The 17,362-nt window shown below is 39.6% G+C and overlaps 1 pseudogene, besides 6 other annotated features; it reads right to left on the bottom strand.

Annotated features, from left to right (window-relative positions):
• Positions 3,222-3,422: a silencer, noted in NCBI's record as "peak7219 fragment used in MPRA reporter construct". NCBI's record gives its function as "represses an SCP1 promoter by STARR-seq MPRAs in K562 erythroleukemia cells {active_cell/tissue: K562}" and the evidence as "EXISTENCE:reporter gene assay evidence [ECO:0000049][PMID:32103011]".
• Positions 5,054-5,348: a silencer, noted in NCBI's record as "tiled region #11708; HepG2 Repressive DNase matched - State 22:ReprW". NCBI's record gives its function as "represses a minimal TATA promoter and a strong SV40 promoter by Sharpr-MPRA in HepG2 cells {active_cell/tissue: HepG2}" and the evidence as "EXISTENCE:reporter gene assay evidence [ECO:0000049][PMID:27701403]".
• Positions 10,574-10,868: a silencer, noted in NCBI's record as "tiled region #1692; HepG2 Repressive non-DNase unmatched - State 22:ReprW". NCBI's record gives its function as "represses a minimal TATA promoter and a strong SV40 promoter by Sharpr-MPRA in HepG2 cells {active_cell/tissue: HepG2}" and the evidence as "EXISTENCE:reporter gene assay evidence [ECO:0000049][PMID:27701403]".
• Positions 12,367-12,375: a recombination feature (RSS nonamer).
• Positions 12,376-12,398: a recombination feature (RSS spacer).
• Positions 12,399-12,405: a recombination feature (RSS heptamer).
• TRBV24OR9-2 (T cell receptor beta variable 24/OR9-2 (pseudogene)) lies at positions 12,406-12,888 on the bottom strand (annotated as a pseudogene). The gene is given in 2 exon segments: positions 12,406-12,706; positions 12,840-12,888. Coding segments are annotated over 2 exon segments (350 nt in total).

The following is a 17,362-nucleotide window of genomic DNA, read 5'->3' as shown; positions in this document are numbered from 1 at the left end:
TCCCTCATCCAAAGTAGGCTTCATGCTTTGCTTAACTCAAGTCTTTAATATTCTTATAAAATATTCCATTGCAACTGTTTTATAAGCTATGAGCATAAAAACTACATAGCTTTGAATGCCTATAATAGCGGGATTTTACCTAATTAAAAAGATTGGGAAAGGAAGTGGCATTTGAGTTGAGTTCTGAAGGATGAACAGGAATGAACTCTGCAAACCCAAGAGAGAAGAACATGCAGAAGAGAGAACCAGTGAACAGCGTGGCTTGATCAGACAAGGAGCAAGAGAACTTGTTAGCATTAAATGGGGCAATCTATATAGACACATGTAAAGAGCTTGGAGCAGTAACTGGGATTCACTGAGTCCTCAGAAAATATGGTGTTATTATTGTGTGATAATAACTTTCTCAGTCTCATTTTTCATTGACTTGGTGTTCAGCCTTTATCAGCTTAATCAACTTAGCCTTTGCCTAGGATGATTTTAGTCCATCTGCCTTTTAATTTCACCATCAATCATGACAGAACAGAAAATACAATCCAATACATGCTTTGGTAATACTGCTAAAAATGGTTTGGGTGCTGCTGCGGTAAACAATGTCTAAACCAAGTGTCATTTTCCCTCCGCCCTTTCCCCCATTTCTTCTTAACAGAAAAGCCTTTGGTTTTGATTGTGAAATACAAAGATTAATCCCAGAATTTCTCCCAGCTTTGTCCACTTCCTTTGCCCTAGTTCATTGAGATTTACAGTTGGTATTTACTAAAATTTTTGTTCACACGATGCTGACATGGGGTTTGGGTTTTTATGATTATATCTCTACTATTTGAACACCATGTCTTCAAGTCTGTATGTACTTACATATAACACATGTGGGCCCCTGCTCACTCTTCCTCTGTCATGTGTCACGAAGGAATGTAACAGTTTTGATTTACCAAACCCTGAAATACTCTTGTCCTATCAGTGGCTCCTTTAAGACAAAAGTAACCATTAAAATAATTAATGAGATTTGGCCTTAGACCTTAGTATGAGATCTGGTCTTAATAGTAAGTGCTGAGAACAGCACTTTTTCAGCCCCCTGCTGAAAAAAAAGATATTAGAGGTTTGGGGAGATTCTGACAAATTTTAAAGAAACAGGAAAGCGGAAGGCTCCCAGTTTTTCTCAATGTGAGATGACTTAAGGATGAGTGATGAGTTGATGGAAGTCTTCGGCAGTGACTGGATTTAAATCTATACCTCACAGTAGAAGCAACTAAGAAAGGAAAGAAGAGAAGTTCTCAACCTGGGCTTGGAAGTAGATATGAGAGAGTCTCAGGTCCTAGTCAGATGAAGGGGTACTCGAAGGCAGAGGTAACTGTCTACTCACTCCTTGCTGCCCAGTGCAGGAATAGCTCATGCATAGCTTGCCTTTTATTGATGAAAACACTTTCCCCAAAGACTACCTTTCTGGTTTAGATAGGGAAGTCTCTGGAGAAGGTGCTGGGAATTGCTAAGTGTGAATAATTACAGAGACAGACATTATTATTTATAATCCTTGTATATATCTCTATACATTTTTGTTCTAGTAAAACACCCTTTCTCAATGGAGCCTTCTTGATTCTCAGGACATGGTGGTCCTTCCAGTGTTCATGAAGTTTGCATAGGGAAGAGATACCAAGAAAGACAAGAGATAAAATGCAGTCTTAATATTCAGCCAGGAGGGAAAGATCTGGAACCAGAATGTGGCAATGCTAAATTAAGACTTCATATGATGGCAAAGGACTCACCTGTCTTCAGATGAGGCACAAGGGAGAAAGACTGAGGGTTCTGGTTTCCCAAATAGTGATAAACATCTCCTAGCTCAGGGCTCTGGGACCACATGGAAGTAGGATTACCTCTGAGGTTTCATTTCCCATGCCAAGAATAGCCTGTGTCATCACAGTTCCTGTTTTCACAGAATAGAGTTTGATTCCAGAGAATCACAGACACTGACTATAGGGGATGTGTGTTGAGCTTTTATGCAGTGTCTTATGTCTGAATCCCAGAGCAAGGGCTTTTTATGAGCTTCAGCACCATGTTCTCAACCCAGTGGTCCCTCGGTATTCATGGGGGATTAGTTTAAATCCACTGATGCTTAAATCTCTTATATAAAATGGCATAGTATTTGCATATAACCTAGGCACATCCTCCTGTATACTTTAAATCAACTCTAGATTACTTTTAATAGCTAATACAATGTAAATGCCATGTAAATAGTTGGTATACCTCACTGTTTTAAATTTTGTATTTTTATTGTTGTGTTGTTATTTTGTAATTTTTAAAATATATTTTTCATCTGAGGTTGACTAAATCTGCAAATGAGGACCCCATTGATACAGAGTGCCAACTGTGTACTCTACCAGCATTTGGAAGTTCCAAAGACCCTCAAATACAGCATGCATAATTCATTCCCCTCCTTCCAACTCTGCTTCTTTGCCTCTAATACTAAAACTAGGACTCCAGCCATAAACTTAACTTATTAAATATTCTGATTAGAATATATTATAGACTCACTTCAATATATGAGTATATAAATGTGTGTTAACAATTAAAACAGAAATATTTCATATATTTTCATATGTATACATCCCCCTTTGCATGTCTTCTTTTTCAAAACTCAGATTCCATTAGGAAAACAGCTTTGATTTCCCCGAACATTCTCCCATGTATGTTTGGGATTATGTCACTTCACTCTATTTCTCAATCATGTAGTACCATCAGATATTAATATCAGATAATAATTGCTACATAAGTCTCTATACATTTTTTGTCCAGTAAAACCCCCTCTTTTTCCAGCCTTCTCTTAACCAAACATATTTTCTTTGTTCTAAAGAGACTTGTAGATGGGAGGTGTGGAGGACTTAAATACACATGTACCAGACCTGGATTGCTCCGGTCTGAACTCAGATCACGTAGGACTTTAATCATTGGACAAACGAACCCTTGACAGCAGCTACACCATTAGGATGTCCTGATCCAACATCGAGGTCGTAAACCCTATTGTCGATATGGACTCTAGAATAGGATTGCGCTGTTATCTCTAGGGTAACTTGTTCCGTTGATCAAATTATTGGGTCAATATATGTATAGTAATTCACGTAAACTTGTTTAGTCTTAGCATAGGTTGCTCGGAGGTTAAATTATGCTCCGAGGTCACCTCAACCAAAATTTTTAATGCAGGGACAGTAGTTTAAGGCCTGTGGGCTTATTTGAGCTTTGTTTGCATTAATAAATTAAAGCTCCATAGGGTCTTCTCGTCTTATTTATTCATGTTTGCCTGTTCATGGGCAGGTCAGTTTCACTGGTTGGAAGTAAGAGACAGCTGAACCCTCATGGAGCCATTCATACAAGTCCCTATTTAAGGAACAAGTGATTATGCTACCTTTGCACGCTCAGGGTACTGTGGCTGTTGAACATATGTCACTGGGCAGGCAGCGCCTCTAATACTAATAATGCTAGAGGTGATGTTTTTGGTAAACAGGCAGGGTAAAATTTGCCGAGTTCCCTTTCTTTTTTAACCTTTCCTTAGAGCATGCCTGTGTTGGATTAACAGTATAGGTAATAATAAATTTGTTGGGTTGATTATTAATATTAGGCTGTTAATTGTCAGTGGGTTATTCTGGTCTGATGTAGGCTTGTGCAGTGGAGAATATTTTCATGTTGCTTATATTAATATTATTGCTTCTATAAAGTAATAGATTAGTCCAATGTGGTGTTAGGAGTTCAGTGGTGTGATTAGAATTTAGAGTGGTTGGATGTTGATCTTGAACGCTTTGTTAATTGATGGCTGCTTTTGGGCCGACTATGGGGATAACGTTTTTTACTCTCTACATGAAGGTTGTTTCCTAATGTCTAAAGAGCTGTCCCTCTTTAGACTAACAGTTAAATTTACAGGGGGATTAAGTGGCTCTGTAGGTAAATTTAAAGTTGAACTAAGATTCTATCTTGGACAACCGCTATCACCAGGCTTGGGAGGCGTATCACTGCTGCTCATGAATCTCCCCACTATTTTACTACATAGATGGGTGTGCTCTTTTCGCTGTTCTTGGGTAGCTCGTCTGGTTTTAGGGGCCTTGGCTTTGGTTCTCTATGTAAAGATATTTCTAGTTAATTCATTATGCAGAAGGTATAAGGGTCTATTTTTGCTATTTATGCTTGGTTAACTTTTTCATCTTTACCTTATGGTACTATGTCTATTGCGCCAGGGTAAAATTTCTATCGCCTATACTTTTGTTTGGGTAAATGGTTTGATTAAGGTTATTCAGTAGTACTATTAGTTAAGTTTAGGGCTGGAGTTGGCTCAAGGTGGTCAAATTATGGTGAAATCTTCCGGGTGTAAGCCAGATGCTTTGTGTTAAGCTACACCTTGGTTCATCCAAGTGCACTTTCTAGTACACTTACCATGTTACGACTTGTCTCCTCTATATAAATAAGTAGGGGTTTTAGTTAAACTAATCTCTAAAGTAATATTTGAGGAGGGTGACGGGCATTGTGTGCGTGCTTTATGGCCTCATTCAATTAAGCACTCTGCTCTTAATGTACTGCTAAATCCTCCTTGAGCCCTTAGATTTCATAAGGGTTGTCGTGAGATTTTCTGGGTGTAGAAAATGTAGCCCATTTCTTACCACCGTGGGCTACACATTGACCCAGCATTTTTACGTAGATACTTGTGCTTACTTTGCAGCCTTTGCTAGGGTTTGCTGAAGACAGTGGTATATAGGCTGAGCAAGAGGTGGTGAGGCAAATTGGGTTTTATCCATTATAGAACAGGCTCCTCTAGAGGGATATAAAGCACCGCCAAGTCCTTTGAGTTTTAAGCTATTGCTTGTAGTGTTCTGGTGAATAGTTCTGTTGATTTAACTATTGGAGTTTAGGGCTAAGCGTATTGGGGGGTATATAATCCCAGTTTGGGTCTCAGCTATTGTGTCTTCAGAAGTATTAAAGCCTCCTTCGTAGTTTATTTTATTTCAGCTAGGGTTTTTTACAACCTAGATGACGCTTAGCGTTGTTAAGGATAGATCTAAAACACTCTTTATGCCGAGTTCTATTAGCTCAGGTTAATTGTATGGCCGCGGTGGCTGGCATGAAATTAACCAACCCTGGATATTAGTATAGCTTAGTTAAACTTTTGTTTATTGCTAAAGATCTATCACTGCTGTTTCCCGTGGGGGTGTGGCTGGGCAAAGTGTTTTGAGCTGCATTTGTGCATGCTTGATACTTACTTCTTTTGATCAAGGTGATTTAGAGGGTACTTTCACTGGGATGGGGATGCTTGCATGTGTAATCTTACTAAGAGTTAATAGAAAGGCCAGGACCAAACCTGTCTGTTTACGGGGCTGTATAAGCCCATCTAGACATTTTCAGTGTCTTGCTTTAAATAATTAAGCTACATTAACTGTATATATGTTAAGTGCAAAATTGGAGTATAGAAGAAGATACAAGCAATATTCACAGTTGTAGGGTTCAGGGATTTAAAGTTGAGTTAGCAGGAGTTGGTGGAGTAGATGTTAGTACTGGCGAGTGGTTGGTGTAGTACGAAGTCACAGGTTTTTTGGGGTGTGTAAATTTAGGGTATGGGCTTAGTAATGGATGGGCATGCATATTAGATATAATTGTTGTAAAAGTAGAATTACATTGGTGGGGGCTTAGTTTCTTTAAAAAATTTGCATTAGTTGAGGGGTAGCTGTTGGGGATAACCAAAGCTAAAATACAAATATTTTGGGGTCTGGCAGAGTTGAATTAAGGCTTACTTGTTTTTGGAGTTTGGCAAGGTGTCTTTTTTCCTGGGTTGATGGAGTCAGAGATGGGGGAGGGGGCATTGCAGATTTTTATTTTAAAAGTCCAATAAGGGGAGCGGTTGTGTGTGTTTGTCTATTAATTACTGTTATGTCCTTCAAGTATGAATTAATTAGCACCTTAGGGTGGTTACGCCCAGTTGGAATATTGAATTTAGGCACAGCTAATATAGGTGATTGGTAGGAATCAAAGACAAGTCCGGCTGCAGGTGATGGGGAGGGGACCAGGCCTTCTGTGATGTGATAGCATACCCGAAAACTAAAATACCAAATGCATGGCAGTGCTCCTGTGACTGGTTAATAGGGTGATAGTCACTGGTCCATCGAGATGTCTACTCTTAACTAAAGAATATATAGCCTTGTGAAGAGCCAGTATAAAAAGAAAACCAGCACAAGACAAAGATACCCTCTTTCACCATTCCTATTCAACATAGTAGTGGGAGTCCTGGTCAGGGCAATCAGGCAGAAGGAAGAAATAGACATCCATATAGGAAGAGAGGAAGTCAAACTATCCCTATTTGCAGATCATGGTCCTATATCTAGAAAACCCCATAGTCTCTGCCCTAAAGCTGCTTGATCTGATAAACAACTTCAGCAGTTTTAAAATACAAAATCAACATTAAGAAATTGGCATTCCAATACACTAAAAACATACAAGCTAAGAGCCAAGTCAGGAACATAATTCCATTCATAATTGCCACACACAACAAATATCTAGGAATACAGCTAACCAGAGAAGTGAAAGATCTCTACAACAAGAATTACAAAACACTGCTCAAAGAAATCAGAGACGACACAAACAAATGGAAAAACATTCTATGCACATGGATAGGAAGAAGCAATATCATTAAAATGGCCATACTGCCCAAAGCAATATAGATTCGATGGTATTAGGTTGGTGCAAAAGTAATTGTGGTTTTGGTGAATTTTAAATCATTATAACTAGGCTCAAGCACATCTTTATTAATCAGAATAGGAACCATTACAATCAACACATTTTTTGCCAATGAGAAATAAGTTTGTTTATTCCTGTAGCATAAAAATCTATGCTTTAGAATTCAACGAACTCTTGGAAAGTATTTTCTGCATCTTGTTGGCTGTGGAAGCATTTTCCCTGCAAAAAGTTGACAAGATGCTTGAAGAAGTGGTAGTTGGTTGGTGAGAGGTCAGGTGAATATGGTAGATGAGGCAAAAGTTTGTACCCAATTTATTCAACTTTTGAAGCATTGGTTGTGCAACCTGCGGTGAGGTGTTGTTATGGACAAGAATTGGGCCCTTTCTGTTGACCAATGCCAGGTGCAGACATTGCAATTTTTGGTGCATCTTATCAATTTGCTGAGGATACTTCTCAAGTGTAATGGTTTTTCCGGGATTCAGAAAGCTGTGGTGGATCAGACTGGCAGCAGACCATCAAAGAGTGACCATGACCTTTTTTTGGTGCAAGTTTGGCTTTGGGAAGTGCTTTGGAACTTCTCGGTCCAACCATTGAGATGGTTGTTGGCAGTTGTCATATAAAATCCACTTTTCATTGCATGTCACAATCTGATCAAGAAACGGTTCATTGCATAGAATAAGAGATGACACTTTAAAATGACAATTTAAAAAAAGTTTTGCTCACTTCATGAGGCACCCACTTATCAAGCTTTTTCACCTTACCAATTTGTTTCAAATGCTGAACAACTGTAGAATGGTCAACCTTGAGTTCTTTGACAACTTCTCGCCTAGTTGTAAGAGGATCAGTTTCGATGATTGCTCTCAACTGGTGATTGTCAACTTCTGATGGCCCACCACTATGCTCCTCATCTTCAGGGCTCTTGTCTCCTTTGCAAAACTTCTGGAACCAACACTGCACTGTATGTTCATTAGCAGTTCCTGGGCCAAATGCGTTGCTGATGTTGCGAGTTGTCTCTGCCACTTTACAACCCATTTTGAACTCAAATAAGAAAATCTCTCTAATCTGCTTTTTGTCTAACACCATGTGGATAGTCTAAAATAAATACCAAATAAGTATCAAGTAATAAGTAATTAGCAAAAAGCATAAAGTGAAAACGTGCATTAAAATGATGTATAACATAACCACATTTACTTAAGAATGTATTTCAATACCAAATGGCAAATTTCAACAATGCAAAAACTGCAAATACATTTGCATTAACCTAATATTCCTATCAAACTCCTAACGATGTTTTTCACAGAATTAGAAAAAACAATATTTTACAATTCATATGGAACCAAAAAAGAGCCCGAATAGTCAAGGCAATTCTAAGCAAAACGAACAAAGCTAGAGGCATCATGTTACCCAACTTTAACCTATACTGCAAGGGTACAGTAACTAAAACAGCATGGTACTGTACAAAAACAGATATAGACCAATGGAACAGAATACAGAGCCAGGAAATAATGCCACATACCTACAGCCATCTGGTCTTTGACAAAGCTGACAAGAACAAGCAACGGGGAAAGAACTCTTTATTCAACACATGGTGCTGGGGATAACTGGCTTGCCATATGCAAAAGATTGAACTGGATCCCTTCCTTATATCATATACAAAAATCAACTCAAGATGGATTAAAGACTTAAATATAAACCTAAAGCTATAAAGCCCCTGGAAGATAACCTAGGAAATATTATATCATCCTAGTCATATGACTTCGCAAAGATTTCATGATGAAGATACCAAAAGCAATTTCAACAAAATCAAAAATTGACAAATGAGACCGAATTAAAGAGCTTCTGCACAGCAAACGAAACTATCAACAGAGTAAATGGATGATCTACAGAATGGGAGAAAATATTTGCAGACTGTGTATGCATCAAAGGTCTAATATCCAGAATCTATAAGGAACTTAAACTTACAAGCAGAAAACAGATAACTCCATGAAAAAGTGGGCAAAGGGCATTAACAGACACTTTTCAGCAAAAGGTGTACATGTGATCAACACGCATATGAAAAATGCTCAACATCACTAATCATTAGAGAAATGCAAATCAAAACTACAATGAGATACCATCTCACACCAGTCAGAATGGTTATTATCAAAAGTCAAAAAATAACAGATCCTTACGAGGCTGCTGAGAAAAGGGATTGCTTCTATGCTGCTGGTGAGAGTGTAAATTAGTTCAGCCATCATGGAAAGCAGTATGGTGATTCCTCAAAGAACTTAAAACAGAACTTCCATTTGACCCAGCAATCCCATTATTGTGTATATACCCAAAAGAATAGAACTCATTCTGTCATAAAGACACATGCACACAGATGTTCATTGCAGCACTACTCACAATAGCAAAGACATGGAATCAACCTAAAGGTTCATCCAACAGTAAGCTGGATGAAGAAAATATAGTACATATACATCATGGAATACTATGCAACCATAAAATAATGCGATCATCATCACAGTTTGCACATAACTGTTTAACAAACCTGTACATGTCCCCATGAACCTAAAATAAAAGCTAAAGAAAAGAAATATGAAGGAACATAACAACTATGATAACTTTGAAATGCATAAACTATCACACACAAGAGAAAAGCTGAGTCTTTGTCTACAGAAGTTGTAAAAACTGTTATAGATAATCTTTGACCTGAGAATTAAAGGATGTGTGAGGATTAGCCAGGCACTCAAGATTTATTTCAAATAATAGATGTTGGTGAGGCTGCAGAGGAAAGGGAACACTTATACACTGTTGGTGGGAATGCAAACCAGTTCAGCCACTGTGTAAAGCAGTTTGGAGATTTCTCAAAGAACTTAAAATGGAGCTACCATTTGACTCAGCAGTCCCACTACTGGGTATATACCCAAAGGGAAATCATTTATTCTATCATAAAGACACATGTACCCATTATGTTCATTGCAGCACTATTCACAATAGCAAGGACATTGAATCAACCTAAGCACCCATCAACAGTGAATTGGATAAAGAAAATGTGGTACATATACACCATGGAATACCATGCAGCCGTAAAAAAAAAAACAAAAAAAAAACAACCAAAATCATTCCCTTTATGTAACATGGATGGAGCTGGAGGACATTATCTTAAGCAATTAATGCAAGAACAGAAAATCAAATACTATGTTCTTACTTTTAAGTGGGAGCTAAACATGGAATACGCATGATTGTAAAGATAGAAACCATAGACACTGGGGCTCACTAGACAGGGGAAGGAGGGAGCAGGGCATGGGCTGAACAACCACCTGTTGGATTCTATGCTTATGGCCTGGGTGATCGGATCGTTGGGACCTGAAGTCTCAGCTTCACGCAATTTACCCATGTAACAAACCTGCACAACATGTGCCCTTTAATCTGTAATAAAAGTTGAAATTAAAAAATTAGTTTTGACAAAAAAGGAATAGAGAAGCTCATTTCAGATGAAGGAAAGAGCTTTGGCAAAAGTACACCTGTGCAATTCAGCGTGGTATATTCAGGGAAATATAAAAAGTTCAATTGAACTAGAGTCTAAAGTGCTGGAGTGAATTCGGCCAATTTGGCCAGATGTTTAGTTTGAGAACTATTTCTGAAGGGCTTTGTGTATTGTGTAAGGAACATCGTACATGGTCATGCTGGTGGCAATGTGAGAAATAGGGTAAGGGAAAGAGGTAAGAAGCTAGTAAGCCAGGGAGAGGGCATTGCATTTATTTCTAGGCAATGGATGATGAGGGTCTGCACTGAGGTAGAAGCAATGAGGAGGGAGAGGGGTAGCTGAATCAGACAAATATGTGTGCATTAGAAACTGTGATGCTGACATCTCTCTGTGAATGGCCTTGTTCTAAAGAGACACTTCCTCCCCATTAAATTCATGAGTGCTTCTCAGAGCAACTCATACAATGACATGGTTACAAGGAAAGTGGGAATAAGACCTGCCATCTCACCTTGGGATGGCGCTAAAGGACCATCCAGACTCAGAGCTCCCTGTGGGGTCAGTGAAGGACTTTGTTGAGGATACAGCACAGCCCAACTTCTCCCTCTGCCCCATTTCTCTCTGCCCACGTGGACTGCAAGGGCAGTTTCCACAAACATTCCCGCACACTAATTTCCCTCTCAAAATCTGCTTTTGGAGAACACAAACCATGACAATGTGGGATATAGAAGTAATAGATTTAGAAACTGATTTAATATGAGGCATAGCAAAAATGAGGAACCTAGAATGGCTGTTCCAATCACTGAGATAGAAATACAGTGTGTGGCCAAAATGGGCAAGTGCAAGGATGGAGAGACAGTTCATTTCAGGGGTAAACTGAGTTTGAATTGCCTGTGGAGCATCCAGCTGGAAGTGTCCAGTAGATAGTTGAATTTGCCAGGCAGGAACCTGTGAAAGAAGTTGTCATGACAATGAATGGGAAGGTTGAGGAAAAATATGTATACTGAGGAAAAAGGAGGGCAGAAGGAAAAATCCTGGGGTAATCTATCAGAAATGTCCAGGAGACAATTAATTGGGATAGTTAATAGCTTATGAGGAAAGAATTATTGCTGATAAGACTTGACGAGGTGTGCATAGAAAGCAGGAAACAAAACTCTGGAGAAACCTGCTTTTTAAATAGAAAGCAGATGAGAAAGAATCCCTAAGCGTAACATTCTTTTCACATGAGAACAGGTAGAAAAGGGAACAAGTTGGATTCTTTCTTTCTGAACAGTCACCAAGTCCCATGGATTCTTTTGCTGAAATAATTGAGGCTTGTGGGACAAGAAGACAAAACCCATGAGGACGACATCAACTTGACTCTCAGGAAGACTTTTACATCAAGCTCTGGCAGTCCTTGATCAATGTGCCTGGGCCTCCCTGGCTCCTAAAAGAACTCCCACGGCAGGGGAACCAGGGAATTATTCCAGTGCCTGGAAAGAAAACAGGCACCTCCAAGCTCCTAGCTTTGACCTCATACTGGGGACAGGGAATTTTATTTTTTGAAATTCAGTACATCCAGATAATATTGCAAGTCTGTCTGCATCTGCACGTTAAAATGAATCTCAGCAGAGATGAAAGTGTGGGGTAGTAGATGAAAAATTACTTTTGTAAATCAGTCTCTGATACTTGAACTTTAGCTTCTGAGTCAGATTTAATGATAATTAAATTTACTTACAGTGAAGTTTTAGAAAACAAGCTAGTTATTTTGTTTTTAGTAGAAAGGCAATCAAATATAGAGCTAAATGGTGGAGCTGAGCTTGGAAGAACTGGGGCAGAGAAAGGTTAGACAGGATAAAAGAGTTGTCTGTGGGAACAGAACAAAGTGTGGGATATTGCAAAGCAGGTGGAGATAATGGCAAAGAGACTATAAAAACTACGTTGTATTGAGCTTATAAGAAATGCTCTTGTTGAAAATCATGAGCTTCTGTCAAATGCTCAAGTTCATTCTCCTGAAAGGTCACCATTGGGCTAGCTCCCTAGGAAGAATAAAATAGGGGAGATTGATTCTGTGGTTTCAGATTCATCACATGGCTTGAGGACATTGATCCAAAGTGGCCCTTAGCTCACACTACCTAAAACCACTGAAAGCTCTAAACACCCCACATCCCACAAACCACATCCAGGTACCCTTCAGAGCAAACAACTCACCCATGTGTCTGTCTTTCTGTGTAGAGAGCAGGTGGCCAAGAAGCACTGTGGAAATCACTGGTGGCACTGAAGTAACCTAGAAGCTGTCTGGTTGGGGGTGGCAGGCTCTAGGGACAGGGAGAATTTAGCCTGTTCCTGTCAAGAGACACTGTATCCATCAGAGATCTCTCTTTTGTTTATATATTTTGACATCAAAGGAGCAATAGATCAACCGTAGCCCCAGTCCTGGGTCTTGTCGATACCAGTACATTCCATCATGACCCTTAGTCTGAGAACATGCCAGCATAATCCTCTTTCCTGTCTTTGTGATCCTATTCCTTGGGGTCTGGATAACATCAGCATCCATGGACCCTGTGGAGAAATAAGACAGAAACTGAAGACAGAGACTGGTAAATGTCTTCAAGCTGCAATCTCTATGGATAGGCTTAATCCAGAACCTGGAAAATTTAAGGCAGTGATTTCCCCATCTGTTTTCCAAACTCACCTGTTCCCAGGAGACAAAAGGCCACACAGAAGAGGAGCAGGGAGGCCATGGCATGAAGAGGAATGATGGAGGTGTTTCCAGCTCTGGATGTTGAGGGAAGCAGGGCATGGAAATAGAAAACTAGGAGGATTCAGGAAGTGATGTCATTGTCCCTTCCAAGGTACTGGGTCTTAAAGATGCCATGTTGGCTTATGTATTAGATGTTCTTAGCAGATGCTGAAATTCCTGTACTTGCTTCTCTTCTCTCTCTGGTGCTTTACTGACAACCACCAGAGAGTTGTATCTCTCCCCTTTCTCAAGGCATATCTATTTCAGTTGTTCAAGGAGACATCATCCTCCTGATAAAGCAGGCTGGAGAAAATTCAAAACCAAGTTGAATTTTGAATAAAGGGAGTCTAGTCTCACTTGAATGATAGGACAATATAATTGTTCTCCTTTTTTTTCTGTGCTTAATCATTTATTCTAACTCGGTTCTTGGTAAACTATGCAATTTGAATACATTCTCTGTAAAGTTTGAGACTTTTTTGTTTTAAGAATGACAGGATTCCTAACTTTGTTTCAAATTGCTCCAATTTTTTAGTGGCTCCTGCTTTTCTGGTCAGTGTTTTCTGGGCACAGAGCTTTATTAAAAATATTGGTTTATTGTAGAAAGGTGTTAGTTTAATGTGGGTATGTGCTTCAAAGAAGCACTTAACACCTTCATTCCTATTTTGAATTAGCTGAAAATACAGTGGTTCATTAAATAATTCATTTTATTCTAAATAAATTATTCCTGACTTTAGGAGGCAAGAGTTTAATATTTAATGCAGCAGATTGCAAGCACAGAACAGTTATAGTGATAGTGTGAGATATTGTCCAATGTAATAAACAACTGGCTCTTTGCTGCTTCAGATCTGTGCTTGTCCTGGTGAAAAAGGAGAGTTCCCTGACCCCCCTGGAAGGACGTGCAACAGGAGTGTTGCTCACCTCTTCGGTTGCTGCAGGGGCTCAAACCCCTGAGGGGAAAGGGAACACGCAGACGGACAGATGCAGGAGCCCAAGTGTGCAGATAGTTCTGCCATCCGCGCACGGCTTGAGTGTTAACCAGCTCAGTGGACCCTCTGCCTTTCTGCAAAGGCGGAGGGCCGGTGTGACAGCTTTCTGTATCCCGAGCTCTTGCCCAGTGTCCTGGAAGAATTGGGTCACACACGGGCTTGAAGGATGAATGTGGGGTTTTATTGAGTGGTGGCAGTGGCTCTCAGTGGGTTGGATGGGGAGCTGGAAGAGGGGATGGGGTGAGAAGATGATCTTCCCCTTGGAGTTTGGCCATCCAGGGACTGAACTCTTCTCTGACCACCCCCAGCTGAACTCCTCTCGCGGTTCAGACGTTCCTCCTCTTTTTCTCTGCCATGTCGTTTCGCCCTCCCTCTGCTTGTCTCCTAGCCTGCTTGCCTGCCTCTGAAGCCTGGGGTTTGGGGTTTACATGGGTACAAGAAAGGGGGCATGGTGGGTCAAAAGACAACTTTTTGGGGATGAAAACAGGAATGCCTGTCCCTATTTACAGCTGCACGTCTCCAGGCTTGAGGGTGGGGCCTTTGCTGGGAAACCACCCTTTCTACCCAGTACTTCTGTCTCCTGTCCATATCACTGTCACTGGCTCTCCCTCACGCATGGGTACACCATGGCATCCTACCCTAATCATTCCTGCTGCATGTCAAATTGGTAAAGTCTTATTTTTAGATATTTTTACTTTTAATTCTAAAAATTTCAAACATATACAAAGTAGGCTTAATAAAATAATGAGCCTTTGTGTCCTCACATGAGTCATCTTTGGCAATTACCAACTCCTCATGGCCTCTCTTGTTCATCTGCCACCTCCTTCACCACTTCTGCCTCTTCTGTGTAATTTTGAATAGTTGTTGCTTTATTTAGGAGTACCCAAGCAAATTTTTTTTATTTTTAATTTTTTTAATTTTTTTTTTTTGAGACGCAGTCTCGCTCTGTCACCCAGGCTGGAGTGCAGTGGCGCAATCTCGGCTCACTGCAAGCTCCACCTCCCGGGTTCACGCCATTCTCCTGCCTCAGCCTCCCGCGTAGCTGGGACTACAGGCGCCCGCCACCACGCCCGGCTAATTTTTTTGTATTTTTAGTAGAGGCGGGGTTTCACCATGTTAGCCAGGATGGTCTCGATTTCCTGACCTCGTGATCCGCCTGCCTCGGCCTCCCAAAGTGCTGGGATTACAGGCTTGAGCCACCGCGCCCGGCCCCCAACCGCATTTTACAGCTATTGTCTACACTCCAGATGACATATTCCAGTGTCCCCTCCCTTTTTCTCTTTCTGGTTAGGGTTCTCTGTTAGCAATATGAATAAAAATGTGGATTTGTTCCAGTAAATGGCTTAGCCAGGGGTCTGATGAATATAAACAAGACGATGATCATAAGAACTTTTATTTTGGGTTTGTCTTCAATGTAAAAAAAAAATCATTGCCCTTATTTGCATTTCTTAAAGTAAACATGCTGTTTTGCTGTCCCCTGCTGTGGGCACTAATCTGAGTGGAATTAATATTTGGGAGCTGAATATGAACTATTCGTGGTGATCACACTAGTTGAGAGAAGAGGGGACTCATATCCAGTGGTTGAGAGACCGTTTTCCTGGGCATTTCTAACAGAAGTTTGTAGGTGCAGAGCAAGGAAAGGAGAAGCAGATATCATTCTGGGAGCAGAATCTATGCCCGAGGAGGAGTGAGTGAGCATTATCAGAGGAATGAATGGAGGGGACACACATTTGCCTGGGAAGGAAATTGAAAAAGGCATCCCAATTTCTGGTCAAATGAGAGGGTTCCTAACGGCACAGGCCAATATATTCTCTACTCTGGGCTGGCTCACGTACCTCTCAAATCGTATTTATAATCCACTTTTGCTCTGACCTATACTCTACCACAGGCAGAACACAGACTTCTTTGTCTTACCCACAGACCATGTCCATCTGTGTGCTGTGCGTATGTACGTGATTCTAAGGACTGTTGAACCCCTCATTCCATGTGTGAGTTATTGATCTGTATAACACACATCCTCTGACATAAAAGGCTGCCAAAGGATAAGTAATTTTATTTCTTTACTACTGCTTAGAGTTTTTGGTGTCCTAAGAGAATTTTGCCTACTCTCAACTCACAAAGATGTTTTTCTGTATTTTCTTCTAGAACATTTGTGGTTTCAGCTTTTATAATTACATCTATGAAACATCTCAATTTAATTTTCATTTATGGTGGTAGGTGGCAGTAAAGGTTCATTTTTTCCATATGATTATCCAGGTTTTCCAACATACTTGTTGAGAATTACCATCTTAATGCATTGAAACTTCCAATCCATAAGCATGATATATCTCTCCATTTAAAAATATTTTCTTTAGTTTCTCTTTGTGGAGTTTTGTAGTTTTTAATTGAACATCTATTGCTAAATTTTTCTTAAGTAATTTGTTATTGGTACTATTGTAAATGGTATTATTTTCTGAAGTTCGTGTTTCAATTGTTTGCAACTAGTAAAAAAATTTGATTTTTAAAATACTGATGTATCCTGTGATATTGGTAAATTCACTAATTATTTCTAGTTGTTGTTCCTTGATTTCTTATGATTTTCTATGTAAACAATCATGTAATCTGCAAATAATTGTACTTTTACTTCTTCCTTTTCAATGTTTAAAACTTTTATTTTTGTTGCTTTATCACGCTGGTTAAGATCTCCAATATAATATTGAATAAAAATAGTGAGCAGCTTAGCACAATAATTTATTAAGCCCAAGAATTCAAGTCCCACCTGGGGAATATAGTGAGCCCTCATCTATAATTAAAGCAAAAAGTAATGAGTAAACTTCATGGCTTGTGTCTTATTATATTATAGGAGGAAAGTGCTCAACACGCTATTCAATCAGATGTTATTTGTAAATTTTTCATTTACAACTTTAATCAGATTGAGATAACTGTCTTACCAGTTTACTGATAGTGTTTCTTTTGATTTAGTACTGATTGTGTCAAAGGTTTCTCTGCATCTGTTGAGATGGTCAAGTGATTATTCCTCATTATTCTGCTGATATGGTGAAGTATATTGATTTTGGAATGCTAAACCACTGTTTCTCCCGCAATAAACTCACTTGGTCATGTTGTAGAATTGTTCACATATACACATATGTATATGCACACAAATATATACATATATTCATACATATTTGGATTTATTACTTATTTATTTTTGATCCAAAAGTATATTTTCTATTTTTTGAAGAAAATTAATTTTTGGAAGACTTTGCTAATCAAAATTTGAGTGAATTATCTAGTTCCCGCCCCCCCCCCCCCCCATAGAGTACTTTATAGCAACTCTACTTTTTTTTTTAGTTCTGGAGTACATGTGCAGGATGTGCAGGTTTGTAACATAGGTAAATGTGTGCCATGGTGGTTTGCTACACCTATCAACCCATCACCTAGGTATTAAGTCCAGCATGCATTACCTATTTTTCCTAATGCCCTCCCTCCCCCCACTCCATCCCCCAA

Source organism: Homo sapiens, chromosome 9 (assembly GCF_000001405.40).
Source record: "Homo sapiens chromosome 9, GRCh38.p14 Primary Assembly".
NCBI classification, from domain to species: Eukaryota; Metazoa; Chordata; class Mammalia; order Primates; family Hominidae; genus Homo; species Homo sapiens.
The sequence above is the reverse complement of the archived record's forward strand: the minus strand, read 5'-3'. Positions and strand labels throughout refer to the sequence as shown.